The 19,885-nt window shown below is 39.0% G+C and overlaps 1 protein-coding gene across 2 annotated transcripts in view; it reads left to right on the top strand.

The window, feature by feature from the left end:
• SRPK1 (SRSF protein kinase 1) overlaps positions 1-19,885 on the top strand; it is an 88,133-nt gene that overhangs the window by 37,665 nt on the left and 30,583 nt on the right. For both annotated transcript variants that reach the window (NR_034069.2, NM_003137.5), the window contains exons 7-12: positions 9,095-9,201; positions 10,706-10,871; positions 12,475-12,500; positions 12,940-13,153; positions 13,533-13,952; positions 14,324-14,424. Coding sequence is in view for 1 of the 2 variants with exons in the window: in NM_003137.5 (NP_003128.3) it covers positions 9,095-9,201; positions 10,706-10,871; positions 12,475-12,500; positions 12,940-13,153; positions 13,533-13,952; positions 14,324-14,424 (1,034 nt within the window). In the remaining variant the exon portion in view is untranslated. The remainder of the gene's footprint in view (positions 1-9,094; positions 9,202-10,705; positions 10,872-12,474; positions 12,501-12,939; positions 13,154-13,532; positions 13,953-14,323; positions 14,425-19,885) is intronic.

The raw sequence follows: 19,885 nt of genomic DNA, 5'->3' as shown, positions 1-19,885 counted from the left end.
GATAATTTTTTTTATTTAATTGCTTTTTTATTTTTATTTATTTTGAGACAGAGTTTCGTTCTTGTTGGCCAGGCTGGAGTGCAATGGCGCAATCTCGGCTCACTGCAACCTCCGCCTCCCAGGTTCAAGCGATTCTCCTTCCTCACCCTCCCGAGTAGCTGAGATTACAGATGCACACCACCACGCCCAGCTAGTTTTTGTATTTTTAGCAGAGACGGGGTTTTGCCATGTTGGCGATCCACCTGCCACAGCCTCCCAAAGTGCTGGGATTGAAGGCATGAGCCACCATGCCCAGCCTATTTAATTGCTTGTTTAAAAAAATTTCCTGGCCAGGTGCAGTGGCTCACGCCTATAATCCCAGCACTTTGGGAGGCCAAAGCGGGCGGATCACGAGGTCAGGAGTTCAAGACCAGACTGGCCAACATGGCGAAACCCCATCTCTACTAAAAATACAAAAATTAGCGAGGCGTGGTGGCACGTGCCTGTAATCCCAGCTACTTGGGAGGCTGAGGTAGGAGAATGGTTTGAACCTGGGAGGCGGAGGTTGCAGTGACCTGAGATCATGCCACTGCACTCCAGCCTGGGTGACAGAGCAAGACTCCATCTCGGGTGGGGAAATTTTTTTTCTCAGCAGAATCATTGGTAAATTTCAAATGTAAAGAAGTAGAAATAGTTTAATGAATCCCCACAGATCCATTACCCATTTCAGGAGTTATCAACTTATAGCCAATCTTGTTTTGTCTGTACCTCCTGATAATTCTGTAGCCAATCTTAAACATTTTATCTGTAATTGTTTTAGAATGTATTTCTAAATGACAAGGACTCTTAAAATATAACCTAGCCAGGCACTGTGGCTCATGCCTATAATCCCAGCACCTTGCAAAGCTGAGGTGTTCAAGACCAGCCTGGGTAACATAGCAAGACCCTGTCTCTACAAAAATAAAAAAATACTAGCCAGGCATGGTAGCTCATGCCTGTAGTCCCAGCTACTTGGGAGGCTGAAGCAGCAGGGTCACTCGAGCCTGGGAGTTTGAGGCTGCAGTGAGCTATGATAGTGCCACTGTACTCCAGTGTGGGTGGCACAACAAGATGCATTCTCTGACAAAAAGATTTGTTAAATAAAAAGATAACCTGAATGCAATTATTATACCAAAAAAAAAAAAATTGTGACCAGTTTCTTAGTCACAAGTTTCTCTAGTCAGTGTTTCAATCTCACCAAATGTCTTGTGCTTTATTTTCTTTTTGTCTTCTTCTTCTTCTGCTGCTGCTGCTACTACTACTACTACTACTACTACTACTACTACTACTACTACTAGTACTACTACTACTATTGCTACTACTACTACTGCTACTACTACTACTGCTACTACTGGTTGTTCTTATTGTTCTTGTTCTTCTTCCTCTTTGGTCTAATTTTTTCTTTATTGTGGTAAAATACACATAACATAAAATTGTGCAGTCATTACCATCATCCATCTTCATAACTTTTCATCTTGTAAAACTGAAGCTCTATACCTGTTAAATGGCTATTAGATCTCATTGGTTTATTGTGTTAAGTCCTCTATTGCCTTGCTTATCTTCTGTCTGCTTGTTCTATACATTATTGAGAGTGTGGCATTAAAATCTCCAACTATTATTGTAGAACTATTTCTCCCTTTAATTCTGTCAGTTTTTGTTTTATATAGTTTGGTGGTCTTTTAATAAGTATGTAAATGTCTATAATTGTTATATCTTCTTGGTGGTATGTTGAACCTTTTATTAATATAGATAATGTCCTTCTTTATCTCTTATAACTTTTTCTGATTGAAAATCTATTTTGTCTGATATTAGTATAGCCACCCCTGATTTCGTTTGGTTACTATTTGCATGGAATCTTTTCTTCAGCCTTTCACTTTAATCTGTTTGTGTCTTTGGATCTAAAGTGAGTCTCTTGTAGACAGCATATAGTTGGATCTATATCTATATCTATATCTATATCTATATCTATATCTATATCTATATCTATATGTGTATTCTACCAAACCAAAGTTATAATCATACTAGCTTTTAGACTAATTATTTTTTGACATATTGGTTTTTTAAATCATGTAGAAAACAAAAAGAGGAGTTATAAACCATTATTACAATATTAGCTTTTATAATTGCTCAAGTATTTACCTTCATTGATAATCTTTATTTCTTCATATGGATGCCTGGCTTTGTGTTATTGTTTAGTGTCTTTTCATTTCACCTTATAGGACTCCCTTGACCATTTCCAGGGCACATCTGGTAATGAACTCGTTCAGCTTCTGTTTACATGGGATGTCTTAATTTTTCTCTCACTTTTGAAATACTGTTTTTCTTAATATAGGATTCTTGGTTGACATTATTTTTCTTTTAGTATTTCAAATATATTGGCCCACTGCTTTCTGGCCTCCAAAAATTTTTGATGAGAAACTTGCTGATAATCTTAGTGAGGATCCCTTGTATGTGAAGAGTCACTCTTCTTGATGCTTTCAAGATTCCCTCTTAATCTTTCAAAAGTTTGATTATAATGTGTCTTGATGTGGGTGTCTTTGAGTTCATCTTGCTTGATGCTCATTGAGCTTTTTGGATTCATGTCTTTCATCTAATTTGTGACGTTTTCAACCGTTGTTTTTTTTTTCAAATATTCTGTCTGGCCATTTCTTCTTCTTTTCTTTTCTTTTTTTTTTTTTTTCTTTTTTTTTTTTTTTGAGATGGAGTCTCACTCTGTCACCCAGGCTGGAGTGCAGTGGTGCAATCTCCGCTCACTGCAATCTGCCTCCCGGGTTCAAGCCATTCTCCTGCCTCAGCCTCCCAAGTAGGTGGGATTACAGGTGTACACCACCACACGCAGCTAATTTTTGTATATCAGTAGAGATGGGATTTCACCATGTTGGCCAGGCTGGTCTTGAACTCCTGACCTCAAGTGATCCACTTGCCTTGGCCTCCCAAAGTGCTGGGATTACAGGCGTGAGCCACCGTGCCCAGCCTCCTCCTCTATTCTTCTTCTGGGACTGCCACAGTGTATATTTGGTCTACTCAATGATGTCCCACAGGTCCCTTAAGCCTCTTCACTTTTCTTCAATCTTTTTTCTTTCTATTCCTCACACTTGATAATTTCCATCACCCTAACTTCAGGTTTGCTGATTCTTTCTTCTGCCTACCCAAATCTGCCTTTGAATCCCTCTAGTTAATTTTTTCATTTTGGTTATTGTACTTTTCAGCACCAGAATTCCTTTGGTTTCTTTTTAGTTTTTTTTTTATCCTCATTAATATCTCCGTTTTGTTTATATATTGTTTTCTTGACTTTCTCCACATCTTCCTTTTGTTCTTTGAGCTTTTTTTTTTTTTTTTCTGAGACAAGGTCTTGCTCTGTCAAGGTCTTCACACCACCCAGGCTGGAGTGCCGTGGTGCGAACACAGCTCACATCAGCCTTGACTACCCAGACTCAAGTACTTCTCCTGCCTAAGCCTCCAGACTACAGGTGCATGCCACCACACCCAGCTAATTTTTAAAATTTTGTAGAGATGGAGTCTCACTGTGTGGCCCAGGTTGGTCTTGAACTCCTGGGTTCAAGCAGTCCTCCTGCCTTGGCTTCTGAAAGTGATAGGGTTACAGGAATGAGCCACCACACCTGGCCTAAGCATCTTTAAGACATTTGTTTTAAAGTCTTTTTCTAGTAGGTCTGCATCAAGTCTTTTTCAGGGACAGTATCTGTTGATTTATTTTTGTCGTTTGAATATGCTGTACTTAACTATTTCTTCATATGCCTTGTGATTTTCTTTTGAAAACTGGACATTTAAATCTAATATGGTAACTCTGGAAATTAGATTTGGCCATATCCCTAAGGTTTGATGGGGTTTGTTATTTATTTATTTTTTTGAGACAGGATCTCACTCTCTTGCCAAGGCTGGAGTACAGTGGCACAGTCATGACTTAAACTGCAGCCTTGATGTCCTGGAATCAAGTAGTCCTCCTGCCTCAGCCTTTCAAATAGCTGAGACTACAGTTGCATGCCACCACACCCAGCTAATTTTTTATTTTTTGTGGAGATGGGGTCTTGCTATGTTGCCCAGGCTGGTCTCAACCCCCTGGGCTCAAGCAGTCATCCTGCCTCAGCCTCCCGAAGTGCTGGGATTACGTGCATGAGCCGCTGTACCTGGCTCTGTTTTGTTTTTGTATTTGTTTTTCTTATGTAGTCTTTCTCTTCCAAGGATCAGCCTGAGATGTAAACGAAAGGTCTTTGCTCAGTCTGCATCTTTTCCTGGGCATGCGCAGTCACTTTCTGATTTTCCCTCTATATGCAGTTGCTTTTGAATGTCCTAGTCTATTTATTTATTTAGAGACAAGAGTCTCTGTCACACAGGCTAGAGTGCAGTGGCACAGTCTCAGCTCAGTGCAACCTCCGCCTCCTGGGTTTAAGTGATTCTCCTGCCTCAGCCTCCCATGTAGCTGGGATTACAGGTGCATGCCACCACACCTGGCTAATTTTCGTAATTTTAATAGAGACAGCGTTTCACCATGTTTGCCAGGCTGGTCTCGAACTCCTGGCCTCAAGTGATCTGCCCACTTTGGCCTCCCAAAGTGCTGGGATTACAGGTGTGAGCTACTGTGCCTGGCCGTAAATGTCCTAGTCTTAATGTCTGGCTCCCAAAGGGGAAAAAGAAAGAAATTGAAGGAGAGGAAATAGGGCACTGGCCCTTTAAATCTTTGCAAGATCACTTGAGCCAGAAGAGGGGCTTAAAACAATGGAGGGGGGTTACAAAAATGGCCACCCGACTCTGATACTTGGGGCAGGATCCTTTTTGCCCACCATGGCTCCAACAAACTGTGTGCAGGGCTGCTTGCTATAGGATTAGGGGATAGGTGGTTGCCACTGTGCTAAGAGCTGAAATTGACCAACATTTACAATAATTATTATCCAAGCCTCTTCTTCGGGAAGTTGTGAGCCCTCAGTAGACTCCAGAGTTTCTTAAGAATCACATTAGACAGATTCTGCCAATGCATTGGTTGTCTAGGTGGGGAAACAGATTTCTGGTGGCTTCTTACTCCACCATCTTCTCAGACTCTTCTCTAGTTTACGATTCTTACTTGAGTCAGGATCTGTATGACATTTTGGCAGTTTATTACCTGGCATCAAGATATTGCAGGCTCACCTTGTGAATTTCCTGTCTTAAATCTAGAATCAGTTTTTCTCTAAGAAGCCCTAATTCCATTCAGTGGGAAATGACATCCAGAATCTAAGCACTTAGGGGTATGCTTTGCTACTGGGTGAATCTTTACCTTTATGATTTGTTGATTCATTGCAAAAAGCACATACTTTCACCTCCTTCCTGTCTTCCCTTTTTGGAGGTCACTATTTGAGTTGCCCCCAAAGCTTGCTTTTGTGGATGTGTGGATTTGTTTGTTTGGATTATTTTTCCAAATTGTTTTATTTTGGACTAATTCTGTTGCTGTGCCATCAAATTCACTAATCTTTTTATTCTACAAAATCTAATCTGCCATTTGTTCCATCCAGTGTGTTTTGATCTCTCACATTGCACTTTTTGTCTCTGGAAGTTCATTTTCAAGTCTTTTTTTTTTTTTTGAGACGGAGTCAGTGGTGCAGGAGTGCAGTGGAGTGCAGTGGTGCAGTGGTTGCTCACTGCAACCTCCGCCTCCTGGGTTCAAGTGATTCTCCTGCCTTAGCCTCCTAAGTAGCTGGGACTACAGGCACGCGCCACCATGCCTGGCTAGTTTTTTTGTATTTTTAGTAGAGATGGAGTTTCACCATATTGGTCAGGCTGGTCTCAAACTCCTGACCTCGTGATCCGCCCACCTCGGCCTCCCAAAGTGCTGGGATTACAGCCATGAGCCACTGCACCCGGCCCATTTTCAGTCTTCTAAAAAATACTTTTCATGTCTCTACTTAATTTTTTGAACATATGGAATACAACTATAATAACCATTTATTGTCCTTGTCTAATTCTAACATCTGTGATGGTTCTAAGTCAGTTTCACATGATCGATTATTTTAATTTTGGATATGTTTTACTACCTGGTAATCACATTGTAAGTTTTACCTTGTTGGCTGCTGGATGTTTTGTATTTCTATAAATCTTCTTGAGCCTTGTTCTGGGATGGTGTGATGTTACTTGGAAAGTGTTTTATCCTTTTAGATTTTACTTTTATGATTTGTTAGATGGATCCAAAGCATTGCTCAGTCCAGATCTAATCATTCCCTCTACTGAGGCAAGACCTTCCCAAATATATCCTACCCAATACCCTGTGACTAAATTTTTCTAGTCTCTTTGCTGGGAACAGGCACTGTTCCAAGCCCTATGCGAATGCTGGGCATTGTTCTCTATAATCCTTTAAGATGTTTTTTCTTCTCTGCCTCTGCTAGTTTCCTCACACACATGTGCTTTGCTGAATCCTTGAAGGGGCGGGCCCCCTCTGCAAATCTCCAAATTTCTCTCTTTCTGCAGCTCTCCCCTCTCTCTGGTACCTTTTTCAGTGAATTATAGCTGCCTTGGTCTCTCCAGACTCTCAGCTCCCATTGATTCAACTTGTGGAGTCTACCTGGAAAGCCTCAAGGCAATAAGATGGGGCAATCCCAGGGTTCAGCTCTTGTTTCCTTTTTTCAGGGATCACTGTACTTGTTGTCTGATGTCCAGAGTCTTCTGTTGTTTTTGTATTTGGTCTGTTTGAGTATTGTTTTTTCAATAAGATAAGTCCAGTGCCTGTTACTCCATCTTGGCTAAAGCAGAAAACTTGATAGGTGCTGGGGTTTTTTGTTTGTTGTTTTTGTGACGGGGTGTCACTGTGTCACTCAGGCTGGAGTGCCGTGGCATGATCTCTGCTCACTGCAGCCTTGACCTCCTGGGCTCAGGTGATCCTCTCACCTCAGCCTCCTAAGTAGCTGGGACTACAGGCACACGCCACCACACTTGGCTAATTTTTGGATTTTTCTTGTAGAGACAGGGTTTCACCTTGTTGCCCAGGCTGGTCTTCTTGAACTCCTGGGCTCAAGGGATCTATCTGTCTCGGCCTCCCAAAGTGCTAGGATTACAGGCATGAGCCACCATGCCCGACCTGTCATAGGTTTTATATTTAAGAATTTGCCAAGCAGTTTTCCAAAGTGCTTGTACCATTTTAGACTTCTACTAGCATAATACAAGAGTTCTAATTGTTCCACAACCTCACCTACATTTGGTGATGTTTAGTTTTTTTATTTTAGTCATTTATTAGTTTGAGATGCTATCTTACTGTAATTTTGATCTGTGTTTGTGGTTGTCATGTGCTTTTAATCTTACGTAGTTTGGAACATTTATGACATTGCCTTTTTTTTTTTTTTTTTTTTTTAATTTAAGAATCCAGGCTAGTTGTTTTATGCCACCTTAGTTTGGATTTGTTTGATTGTTTCCTCATGATTAAATTCAGGTTAACCGTGTTTGTCAAGCATAGTACATGGATTATTGCATTAGAATATGCATTCGAATGCATATTAGTATATTGCATTAGAAGGCACATGGTGTGAATTTGTGCTTATCATTGGTGGTAGTAAGTTTGATCACTTGGTTAAGGCAGTGCCTTCCAGATTTCCCAGTTGTAAAGGTACTTTGTTCTTTTTGTAATTAATAAGCAATCTGTGGAATGATATTTTGACACTGTGACAATCCTTTTTCCCGACAGTCTTTCACATAGTTGTTTTAGTATTCACTGATTCTTACCTGAATCAGTAATAGTATACTATAGTGATTGTAAAAATGGTGATTTTCTATTTCTGTAATCCCTTATGTATTTATTATTTGGCTTTCTTCTCTAAAGAAGATGTTTCTCTTCCTCCTGCCTCCACACTTACTTTCAGATCAGTGTGGACTTGTTCTGTTTTTAATTCATATATTAACTCATAATTTTATCCTTTATAGTGGTCTGGCCGGGCGCAGTGGCTCACGCTTGTAATCCCAGCACTTTGGGAGGCCAAGGCAGGTAGATTATGAGGTCAGGAGTTCAAGACCAGCCTGGCCAATATGGTGAAACCCCATCTGTACTAAAAATACAAAAATTAGCCCAGCGTGGTGGTACACACCTGTAGTGCCGAGAGGCAGAGGTTGCAGTGAGCTGAGATAGTGCCACTGCACTCCAGCCTGGGCAACAGAGCCAAGACTCTGTCTCAAAAAAAAAAAAAAAAAAGAAGTCTCCATGTTGGCTGGTGACATCCTTTTCAAGATGGTTCCTGTTTCTTCCTGACAGGTTCTTTTATTTGTTAGAACAGCAAGGTGTTCCAAGTTTACCCTGTTATTTTTCCTACCTTGGATTTGGCCATTTTTCCAAGGAGCTCAGGCTTTCCTTTAATGGAGAATGTTAAAGTCTGAGCACTAGACCATTACTATATATGTATGTCTTAACTTGCATGTAGAAGCCAGTGGGGGTGGAAGACATCAAGATACTACTAAAATCTCTGTAGTGCCCTGCACAATTTTAGACTCAGAGTATTCCTGCTGTGTGGTGTCATCAGGTTGTTCATACATAAGGACAACACATGGTGGCACTGGAATCAAGATTAGTTTTGTAAAATACAGAGCATTAAGCAAGTTTCCTATTTAAAAAAAAATGTTGGCATTTACGTTTTTGAGGTTTAAGTCTTTCTTGTACATTCATCTCTTCTATAGTTAAGGAATAATTTGTTTTTCCTTGCTTTGAAGCTGTGAGAGTGGGAATTTTTACCCTGGACACCAATTTTGATATTAGGGAAGAAACTAATTTACCTGAAGCTAATCAACAGCTTGAGGCTTGAGCCTACTGCTTTCTTTCACTATTTGCATATGTAGGTTTCACTTTTTCTTTTACCATTGAGTATTTTAATGTACATAATAATATTGATGAAGCCAGCCGCCCACAATTTAATGTTTCATGAATGCTTTCATTGACTATAGCATTAGACTTTGAAATTTTAGAATATTAACAGCTACATATTTATTCATTCAAGCTCTGTAACTTTTTATACTGAAAGAAAATAATACATAACATTTAATAGGGTGGAATTCACAGCTTGTCTTGCCGTGTTCTTCTTTTGTGCCGTTTTTTCCCTCCTTAATGAATTCCTAGATATCTGCATGGTATTTGAAGTTTTGGGGCATCATCTGCTCAAGTGGATCATCAAATCCAATTATCAGGGGCTTCCACTGCCTTGTGTCAAAAAAATTATTCAGCAAGTATGTATCTTGAATCAGCAAGTATCTTAGTCTTGACTATGTAGTGATTTTTTAATATTCTTGAAGTGTCAGGACTTTATTTTTTCCAATAGAATTTTTGTTTTAAGGCCGGGTGTGGTGGCTCATTCCTGTAATCCCAGCACTTTGGGAGGCCGAGGCGGGCAGATCACGAGGTCAGGAGATCAAGACCATCCTGGCTAACATGGTGAAACCTCCTCTCTACTCAAAATACAAAAAGTTAGCCGGGTGTCTTGGCAGGCACCTGTAGTCCCAAGCTACTCGGGAGGCTGAGGCAGGAGAATGGCGTGAACCCAGGAGGCGGAGCTTGCGGTGAGCCGAGATCACACCACTGCACTCCAGCCTGGGCGACAGAGCGAGACTCCGTCTCAAAAAAAAAAAAGAATTTTTGTTTTAAAATTCTTTGTTTTAAAAAGTAAGTTATTGGCTGGGCGCGGTGGCTCACGCCTGTAATCCCAGCACTTTGGGAGGCCGAGGCGGGCAGATCACCTGAGGTCAGGAGCTCGAGACCAGCCTGGCCAACAGTGCGAAACCCCGTCTCTACTAAAAATACAAAAATTAGCCGGGTGTGGTGGTAAGCGCCTATAATCCCAGCTACTCGGCAGGCTGAGGCAGGAGAATCGCTTGAACCCGGGAGGCGGAGGTTGCAGTGAGCTGAGATCGCGCCACCGCGCTCCAGCCTGGGCGACAGAGCAAGACTCCATCTCAAAAAAAAAAAAAAAGTTAATTGCTAAAATTAAATATTTCATTCAACCTTTAGAATTTATTGTGCTTATTCTCTTTTTAAATGTTTTAGCATAACCATTTTCCCCCAGGTTTGCCTCCTATAATAATTAGAAAGGGAAGCTGAGGTTCCTGACTTGGGAACATTGGAGCCCTTATCCAGAAGTTCTGGTTGCAAATAGTAATTTTACATGAATAGATAATTGCTATGTCAGATTATTGCCATCTCTTTATACAGCATGATTCATAGGCATTTTCTAATTTTCTAAAGAGCCTTCAATATACAGTATAGATTTTACCATCAGGAAAATATTAATACTTCAAGGTGCAAAAATTTGTTTGGATTATATGTCCTGGAAAGAGCTCCAAACTGGGCAGCAAGAGACCTCAATTCTTCCTCAGTGAGGAAATTTGAATTAAAGATATCTAAATGTCTGTCAGCACCTACATTACAACACTTAGAGGGTGTGTGTGTGTTGAAGTTTATTCTCAGTCTTTGCATTGTACATAGTTGAAGAATATCTCCAAATAGAATCAGCTTTGTAAAACATTGAAGAATTTTTTATTGTAAATAATTTCTTGCCTTTTTCATAGTTTAATCTTTCTGAGAAAGTTTATTTGTGCTTTTTTAAAAGGTGCTTTTATTCTCTATAGAAAACGCTATCATATCTTTTTTTTTTTTTTAATGTCATGTTATAATCTCTTACTTCTCCAGAAAGCCTGTATTTTGTGTTTGCAAGTCTGCCACTCTATTTCCATTCAGGTGTTACAGGGTCTTGATTATTTACATACCAAGTGCCGTATCATCCACACTGACATTAAACCAGAGAACATCTTATTGTCAGTGAATGAGCAGTACATTCGGAGGCTGGCTGCAGAAGCAACAGAATGGCAGCGATCTGGAGCTCCTCCGCCTTCCGGATCTGCAGGTGTATTTTCTTTTAGGGACTTCGCTATCATTAGAAGTTAAAAAGAAATTTCTATTTTTATTCTGTTACCAGGGAATTAAACACCACTCAATCCATTTCAACAATAACATATTTAAGAAACATTATCAGCTTCCAAGAGACATTCTCACTGTTACTTCCATAGGGGAAGGAGAAAACTAGATATTGTGTCTTTGTGTTGTATGTTATAAAAGCTGGTGTGTATTGTTTAAAAATATTTTTTCTTATGAGTTGATGATTTTTGAAGTGTTTACCTCTAACTGTGATCACACATGCTCATTTATAGGACTGGTAGTCTGTAGAGGGACAAGATAACATTGCTATTAATAGTTTAGGTTTAAACACTGGAGTAGACAGACTTGGTTTGAATTTGGGCTTCATCCTAGACTGAGAAACCTTAGCTGAGTTATTTTACTTTATTTTCCCTCAACTGCGAATTATTGGGATTAAATGGTAAAGCAGTTAGTAGTGTGCCACACAATATTATATACCAAATAAATTGCGGGACCAGGCACAGTGGCTCATGCCTGTAACGCAACACTTTGGGAGGTTGAGGTGGGTGGATGATTTGGGCCCAGAAGTTTGAGACCAGCCTAGGCAACACAGTAAGACCCTGTCTCTACAAAAATTAAAAAAATTAGCCAGGCATAGTGATGCGTGCCTGTAGTCCATTTACTCAGGAGGCTGGGGCAGGATGATTGCTTGAGCCTAGGAAGTCAAGGCTGCCACGAGTTGTGATAGTACCACTGCACTCGAGCATAGGCAACAAAGTGAGACCCTGTCTAAGACATAAAATTAAATAAATAAATAAAGGCTGCTTTATGATTTTTTTTCTTTTGAGATACAGATTTTAGTTTTAGTAGTGTGTCATTTTTTAGGAACTTGCTTGATCCTCAAGTTGAGTTATTAGTTATACACTTCTTTAAAAAGGAAGACTAAAGAAGGGGGAAATGGGGAGTTGGTTGTTAAATGGATGTAGTTTCTGTTTTACAAGATGAAAACATTCTACAGATCCTGTTATACAACAGTGTGAATAGTGTTAAAACCACTGAATGTACACTTATCTAGAGTATAAATTTTTATTATGTGTTTTTTGTTAACCACAGTTATTATACTAATATTTTAAAAAGAGGAAGACTGAAGATCCTACCTTCCAGCTAAGCTACACTGTTATCCATGACATGCTGTAGAGCAAATTACTATAGCTCTTGATGTCACCTAGACTCCCCTTTTAAAACTGACAGATTCTGGGTAGCATTTGAGGTGAAGAGGTTGTTGCTTGTCCCATTCTATTTTAAGCAGTGCATGGGAATGGAAAATAGGTGATTTTTAGCAACTTTAGTTTACCTGGGGAGGAAGAATTTTATTTATCCCTTTTTTTTAAGTTTGGCAATTTCTATTCATTATTTTCTTTAAAAATGGTAATAATATAGCTTCTACTTAAGTCATTTAAAAACAATAGTTTTCTCTGCAATGTAGACTACATAAGAAAGACTTTTCATTCTGGTAGAGTGTTTTATCTGAGCCTTAGTTTATATTGCCTGATGAATGCCAGAATTCTTACTTGGTTTTCTTTTCTTTTCAGTCAGTACTGCTCCCCAGCCTAAACCAGTAAGTATAAGGTGTTTTTATATTTAATTTTGATCTATGGACTATGGGCATGGGTTCTTCTGTTGTGGATGGTAACAGTTTGTTTCAAGTTTGAGAACCAAAAGGAAAAAAAATTCCTGCGCTTCTATAATTTTCTCCAGTAAATTCCCATGCACCTTCATCACATTTGTACTGGTGAGGCCTCTAAAAAATTCGAGTTTGTCTGAATGTAAACCAACCCCACGGACTGCTCAGAAGACCACACTTTGTTATTTATTCTGTTTTTATTTGGGTTTATAAGAGTATCCCGCATCTTTTAATTTAATGAAAGACTTAAGTGCTATGTTAGGGAAAGATTTGTGAAATTTAATTAGGAAGTAATTAAAGTTAACAACTATCTCCAACTGGGGGTAATTAATTAGCCACCTGAAGGCTTTATCTGTTTGTAATCTCCGCCCAGGCTGACAAAATGTCAAAGAATAAGAAGAAGAAATTGAAGAAGAAGCAGAAGCGCCAGGCAGAATTACTAGAGAAGCGAATGCAGGAAATTGAGGAAATGGAGAAAGAGTCGGGCCCTGGGCAAAAAAGACCAAACAAGCAAGAAGAATCAGAGAGTCCTGTTGAAAGACCCTTGAAAGAGAACCCACCTAATAAAATGACCCAAGAAAAACTTGGTATAAATAGAACATCACGAAAATTACTGTACAACACACTTTAACGTTAATTTATCATTGCTATATAATACAGTGGTTTCATACATACAACACATCTCTGGGGGTATCTTTATAAGAATATGGATCTTGTCATAAATGTTAGGCAGGTAATATTTAAATGTAATTTGTAACTTTTCTCAGGAAATGGAACATAGATTTCATTTAACAATTGGGTAAAAGTAAGATCTTGGCCCTTCCGGAAATAGGTTTTAGATGTTTAGTCATGTTTTTATGTCACTCAGTATAAGTTCTAGAAAATGTTTTAATCTTGTGAGAAATGTTTCTGTTCTTTCACTCACACACATATGCATATATCTTTTTTTGTTCGTTTGTTCCTTAGAAGAGTCAAGTACCATTGGCCAGGATCAAACGCTTATGGAACGTGATACAGAGGGTGGTGCAGCAGAAATTAATTGCAATGGAGTGATTGAAGTCATTAATTATACTCAGAACAGTAATAATGAAACATTGAGACATAAAGAGGATCTACATAATGCTAATGACTGTGATGTCCAAAATTTGAATCAGGAATCTAGTTTCCTAAGCTCCCAAAATGGAGACAGCAGCACATCTCAAGAAACAGACTCTTGTACACCTATAACATCTGAGGTGTCAGACACCATGGTGTGCCAGTCTTCCTCAACTGTAGGTCAGTCATTCAGTGAACAACACATTAGCCAACTTCAAGAAAGCATTCGGGCAGAGATACCCTGTGAAGATGAACAAGAGCAAGAACATAACGGACCACTGGACAACAAAGGTACCTATGCAGCTATACTTCCTCAACACTCCTTCCCTGCACAACACATTCACAGATTTCTAGACTAAAAGTATGATTGTTTTTGTAACTATAGCTTTACAACAGGTGTGTCTAAGTTACGTTTAAATTGTAATCTGTAGCTAACTTTATCCATCATGTACTGAGTACACAGCACTTCATTTGTTGCTGTGAGGGCAGAGGTTTTTAATTCTGGAAACTCAAGGCGTTGCTGTGCTCTTTTTGTCTCAGAAAATGTAAGTTGTCACTTGGGTATTGCTGACTGTATTACTCTTACCTTGGAGAGCTTTATTACTCATTGAGTATTTCTCTGTTCATTGAACAGTCTTATTGATGATGCCTGTTGTCTGTAGGAAAATCCACGGCTGGAAATTTTCTTGTTAATCCCCTTGAGCCAAAAAATGCAGAAAAGCTCAAGGTGAAGATTGCTGACCTTGGAAATGCTTGTTGGGTGGTAAGTTAAACTTGCCTTAATGGTGTTTTGAAGTGACTGGGAGGATGAATGAGAATTTGGACTTAGTTATGCAAAACATCCATAATTCTGTACCCAGATTGATACAACACTTCAGTGAATATTTTTTTACATTTAAAAAAACCTTTTACTATGGAAAAGTTTAAATATACTTACGAAAGTAGAATGGTAATCGTGATCATGAAAAGTCCTTCTGTTACCCCACCCCACTCCAGATACCCATCACCCAGATTCAGTAATGTCAACTCCTGGCCAATCTTGTTTTTAATATATATATCATTATTAACTTTCAGACACTCAGTGCCTATGTTCATACTCCCCTACTCCCATTTTCAAAATTGATGACTAACTTATAAATTGTAACCTCCTTTTAATTCACTTAACATATTTTGGACACTTTGCTTTGTCAGCCAGAAATTTAAATACAATTCAGTTCATTACATTGTTTCCCTAGTACACTTTAATCTACATATTTTTGACAGCTCTTTGTGATGAGACTCTGCACGCAAATCTTTGTATAGTTTTTCTTAGGACATGTCCTAGACATAGAATTGCTAAGTCAGAAGTTCTGTGATTTTTAAAAGGGCTTTATGATGTATAGTGTCATTTAACTTATTTTTAGTTATTCGTAATGACATGTAATTAGAAATAATTATATGTTTTTTGATGTATAGTGTCATATTACACTCTAGAAAGGATACTTCAGTTAGCCAGGCACGGTGGCTCATGCCTGTAATCCCAGCACTTTGGGAGGCGGAGGCTGGCGGATCACATGAGATCACCTGAGGTCAGGAGTTCGAGACCAGCCTGACCACATGGAGAAATCCCGTCTCTACTAAAAATACAAAAAAATTAGCCAGGCGTGTTGGCGCATGCCTGTAATACCAGCTACTTGGGAGGCTGAGGCAGGAGAATCACTTGAACCTGGCAGGCAGAGGTTTCGGCGAGCCAAGATCACGCCATTGCACTCCAGCCTGGGCAGCAAGAGTGAAACTCCCATCTCAAAAAAAAAGAAAAGAAAAGATACATCAGTTATTCTACCTTTAACAACTCAGAAAAGTATTTTCTTGTATGATCTTCAGGCTAAATAGTGGAATCTCATTTTAATTGGCGAATTATTTATACTGTTGTTTTTTACTGTGTATCTAATAAAGTGTTTTAAGGTTTTTTTGTTTGAGACGGAGTCTTGCTCTGTCACCCAGGCTGGAGTGCAGTAACTCAATCTCAGCTCACTGGAACCTCTGCCTCCCGGATTCAGGTGATTCTCCTGCCTCAGCCTCCCAAGTAGCTGTGATTACAGGCGTGCGCCAGCATGCCCTGGCTAATTTTTGTATTTTTAGTAGAGGAGGGGTTTCACCATGTTGGCCAGGCCAGCCTCAAACTCCGGACCTCAAGTGATCTGCCCGTCTCGGCCTCCCAAAGTGTTGGGACTACAGGCATGAGCCACCATACCTGACCAAGGTTATTTTTAATGGACATCTTTTTAAAATTTATAATAGAATGATTCACACATAAATGACAGTACTCAAAGAGCCATATGCTTTTAAATGGGACATGGTTCAGACCTCAGAAGGATCTTACTTCCCATATTGATTGTAGAATATTGTGATAACCTTTTAGAAAAAACAAAGCCAGCTTAGCACTGACTAATAAGAATGTGGAGCAGCTTTCCAAGTAATTAGAATTACTCCACTACGCTATCATCTGGTCCAGGTCACCCTGGATGACTTCAGTAGTGACTGCAATAGCTTCTTCACTTTCTCCCTTCTGCTGCCCTTGCTCCCCGTAGACTATTGGCAACACATCTATCAGAGTGATACTTTTTTTTTTAATTTGTATATGTTCATGAGGTATAAGTGCAGTTTTGCTAGGTTGATATATTGCATTGTGGTGAAGTCAGGGCCTTCAATGGATCCATCACTGGAACAGTGCACATTGTAACCACCAAGTAACATCCCTTCATCCACCCTTTCACCCCACCCTCTGAGTCTTCATTGTCGATCATTCCACACTATACCTCCATGTGTACACATTATGCAGCTCCCACTTATAAGTGAGAACATGTGGTATTTACCTTTCTTTGAGTTGTTTCAATTAAGATAATGGCATCCAGTTCCATCCATGTTGCTGCAAAACACATGATTTCATTCTTTTTTATGGCTGAATAGTATTGTGTTCATTCCATACCACATTTTCTTTATCTACTCCTAGACACTTGGGTTGATTCCGTAGTTGTAATTATGAATAGTGCTGTGATAAACATACAAGTATAGGTATATTTTTGATATGATTTATTTTCCTTTGTGCAGATACCCAGCAGTGGTACTGCTAGATCATGTGGTAGTTTTATTTTTAGTTCTTTGAGAAATTTTCATACTATTTTCCTTCTTTCTTTTTCTTTTTTTTTAAATGGAGTCTCGCTCTATTGCCCAGGCTGGAGTGCAGTGGTGCGATCTCTGCTCACTGCAGCCTCTGCCTCCCAGGTTCAAGCAATTCTCCTGCCTCACCCTTCCCGCGTAGCTGGGACTACAGGCACGTGCCGCCACAGCCGGCTAATTTTTTGTATTTTTAGTAGAGACGGGGTTTCACCATGTTGGCCAGGATGGTCTCGATCTCCTGACCTTGTGATCTGCCTACCTCGGCCTCCCAAAGTGCTGGGATTAGAGGCATGAGCCACCGCGCCCGGCCATTCATACTATTTTCTATAGAGATGGTGCTGATTTTCATTCCCACCAAGAGTGTGTAAGAAGTCCCTTTTCTCCACATCCTCTCCAACATGTTATTATTTTTTGTATTTTTAGTAATAGCCACTCTGATTGGTGAAAGATACCTCATTGTGGTTTTAATTTGTATTTCTCTGCTGGTTAGTGATAGTGGACATTTTTTCATTTATTTGTTGGCCATTTGTCTTCTTTTGAAAAATCCCTATTCGTGTCCTTAGTCTACCTTTTAATGGGATTATTTGGTTTTTTTTTTAATTGAGTTGAGTTTCTTGTAAATTCTAGATGTTAGTCCCCTGTTGGGTCATATAGTTTGCAGATTTTTTTCTCCCATTTTGTAGGTTGCCTGTTGACTCTTGATTATTTCTTTTGCTGTGCAGAAGCTTTTTTGTTTAAGTCCCATTTGTCTATTTTTATTTTTGTTGCCTGAGGTCTTAGTCATGAGTTTCAGGTCTTATATTCATGTCTTTAATTGGTCTTGGGTTGATTTTTGTATACAGTGAGTGATAGGGATCTTTTATTCGTCTGCATATGGCAGTCCAGTTTTCCTAGAACCATTTATTGAAAAGGATGTCTTTTTCCCAGTGAATGTGCTTGTTGACTTTTCAAAGATCAGTTTGCTGTTAAGTATATGGCTTTATTTCTAGGTTCTCTATTCTGTTCCATTGATCTGTGTATCTATTTTAATACTAATACATGCTGTTTTGGTTGCTGTAACCTTGTATAGTTTTAGGTCAGACAGTGTAATGCCTCTAGCTTTTTTCTTTTTGCTTAGGATTCTTTTGGCTATTTAGGTTCTTTTTTTATTCCATATGAATTTTAGAATTGTTTTTTGTAATTCTGTGAAAAAATGACATTAGTATTTTGAAAAGAATTGCATTGAACCTGTAGATTGCTTTGGATAGTGTGATTGTTTTAAAATTTTTTTTAATTTTTAATTTTTAATGGGTACATAGTAGGTGTATGTATTCGTGGGGTATCTGAGATGTTTTGATACAGGCATGCAATGTGAAATAATCACATCATGGAGTAAAATAGGGTATCCATCCCTTCAAGCATTTATCCTTTGTGTTACGACAATCCAATTATATTCTTCTAGTTATTTTTAAATATATAATTATTATTCACTATAGTCACCCTGTTGTGCTATGAAAGAGTAGATCTTATTATTTGTAAGTAATTTTTTTATACCCATTAATCATCCTTATCTCCCCACTTCTCCCATGCTACCCTTCCCAGCCTCTGGTAACCATCCTTCTACTCTCTGTGTCCTTGAGTTCTATTGTTTTGATTTTTAGCTCCCACAAATAAATGAGAACATGTGAAATTTGTCTTTCTGTGCCTGGCTTATCTCATCTAACATAATGATCTCCAGTTCCATCCATGTTGTAAATGACAGGATCCCATTCTTTTTTATGGCTGAATAGCACTTTATTGTGTATATGCACCACATTTTTTTAATTCATCTGTTGATGGACACTTAGGTTGCTTCCAAATCTTAAATATTGTGAATAGTGCTACAACAAACATCGGAGTGCAGACATCTTTTTTATATACAGATTTCCTTTCGTTTGATTATATACGCAGCAGTGGGATTGCTGGATAATATGGTAGCTCTAGTTTTCTGAGGGACCTCCAAACTGTTCTCCATGGTGGTTGTAACCAGTTTATATTCCTATCATCAGTGCAGGAGGGTTCCCTTTTCTCCACATCCTTGCCAGCATTTGTTACTGCCTATCTTTTGGACGTAAGCCATTTTAACTGGGGTGAGATGCTCTTGTAGCTTTGATTTGCCTTTCTCTGATGGTCAGTGATGTTGAGCACCTTTTCATATGCCTCTTTGCCATTTGTATGTCTTCTTTTGAGAAATGTCTATTCAAATCTTTGGCCCATTTTTTGATCAGATTATTAGATTTTTTTTTTTTCCTATAGAGTTGCTTGAGCTCCTTATATATTCTGGTTATTAATCCCCTATCAGATGGGTAATTTGCAAATATTTTCTCCCATTCTGTGGGTTGTCTCTTCACTTTGTTGATTGTTTTCTTTGCTGTGCAGAAGCTGTTTAACTTCATGTGATCCCATTTGTCCATTTTTGTTTTGGTTGCCTGTGCTCGTGAGGTATTGCTCAAGAAAATTTTTGCCCAGACCAGTGTCCTGGAGATTTTCCCACATGTTTTCTTGTAGTAGTTTCAAAGTTTGAGATCTTAGATTTCAGTCTTTAATCTATTTTGATTTGATTTTTATGTATTACGAGAGATAGGGATTGAGTTTCATTTTTCTGCATATGGGTATCCAGTTTTCCCAGCAGCATTTTTGACTGTCTATATCTTGAAAAGTTGTTGTAGTTATTTTTGATTGGTTGATCTTTCTACTTAGGGTAAGAGTAGTTTACACACTACAATTAACGGTGTTATAATATTCTGTGTTTTTCTGTATACTTACTGTTACTGGTGAGTTTTGTACCTTCACATGATTACTTATTGCTCATTAATGAGTTTTTCTTTCTGATTGAAGAAAGATTTTCTCTCTTCTTTAAGATTTCTTGTAAGGATAGGTCTGGTGTTGATAAAATCCCTCAGCTTTTTTTTGAAATCCCTCAGCTTTTGTTTTGTGTGGGAAAGTCTCCCCTCCCCCTCCACCTCCCCCTCCCCATGTATTTGCCTGGGGATCAGTGGGCCTCCTGTATCTGGATGCCTTAACTCTCTTGTTAGACTTGGGAAATT

Source organism: Homo sapiens, chromosome 6 (genome assembly GCF_000001405.40).
Source record: "Homo sapiens chromosome 6, GRCh38.p14 Primary Assembly".
Lineage (NCBI taxonomy): Eukaryota > Metazoa > Chordata > Mammalia > Primates > Hominidae > Homo > Homo sapiens.
The sequence above is the reverse complement of the archived record's forward strand: the minus strand, read 5'-3'. Positions and strand labels throughout refer to the sequence as shown.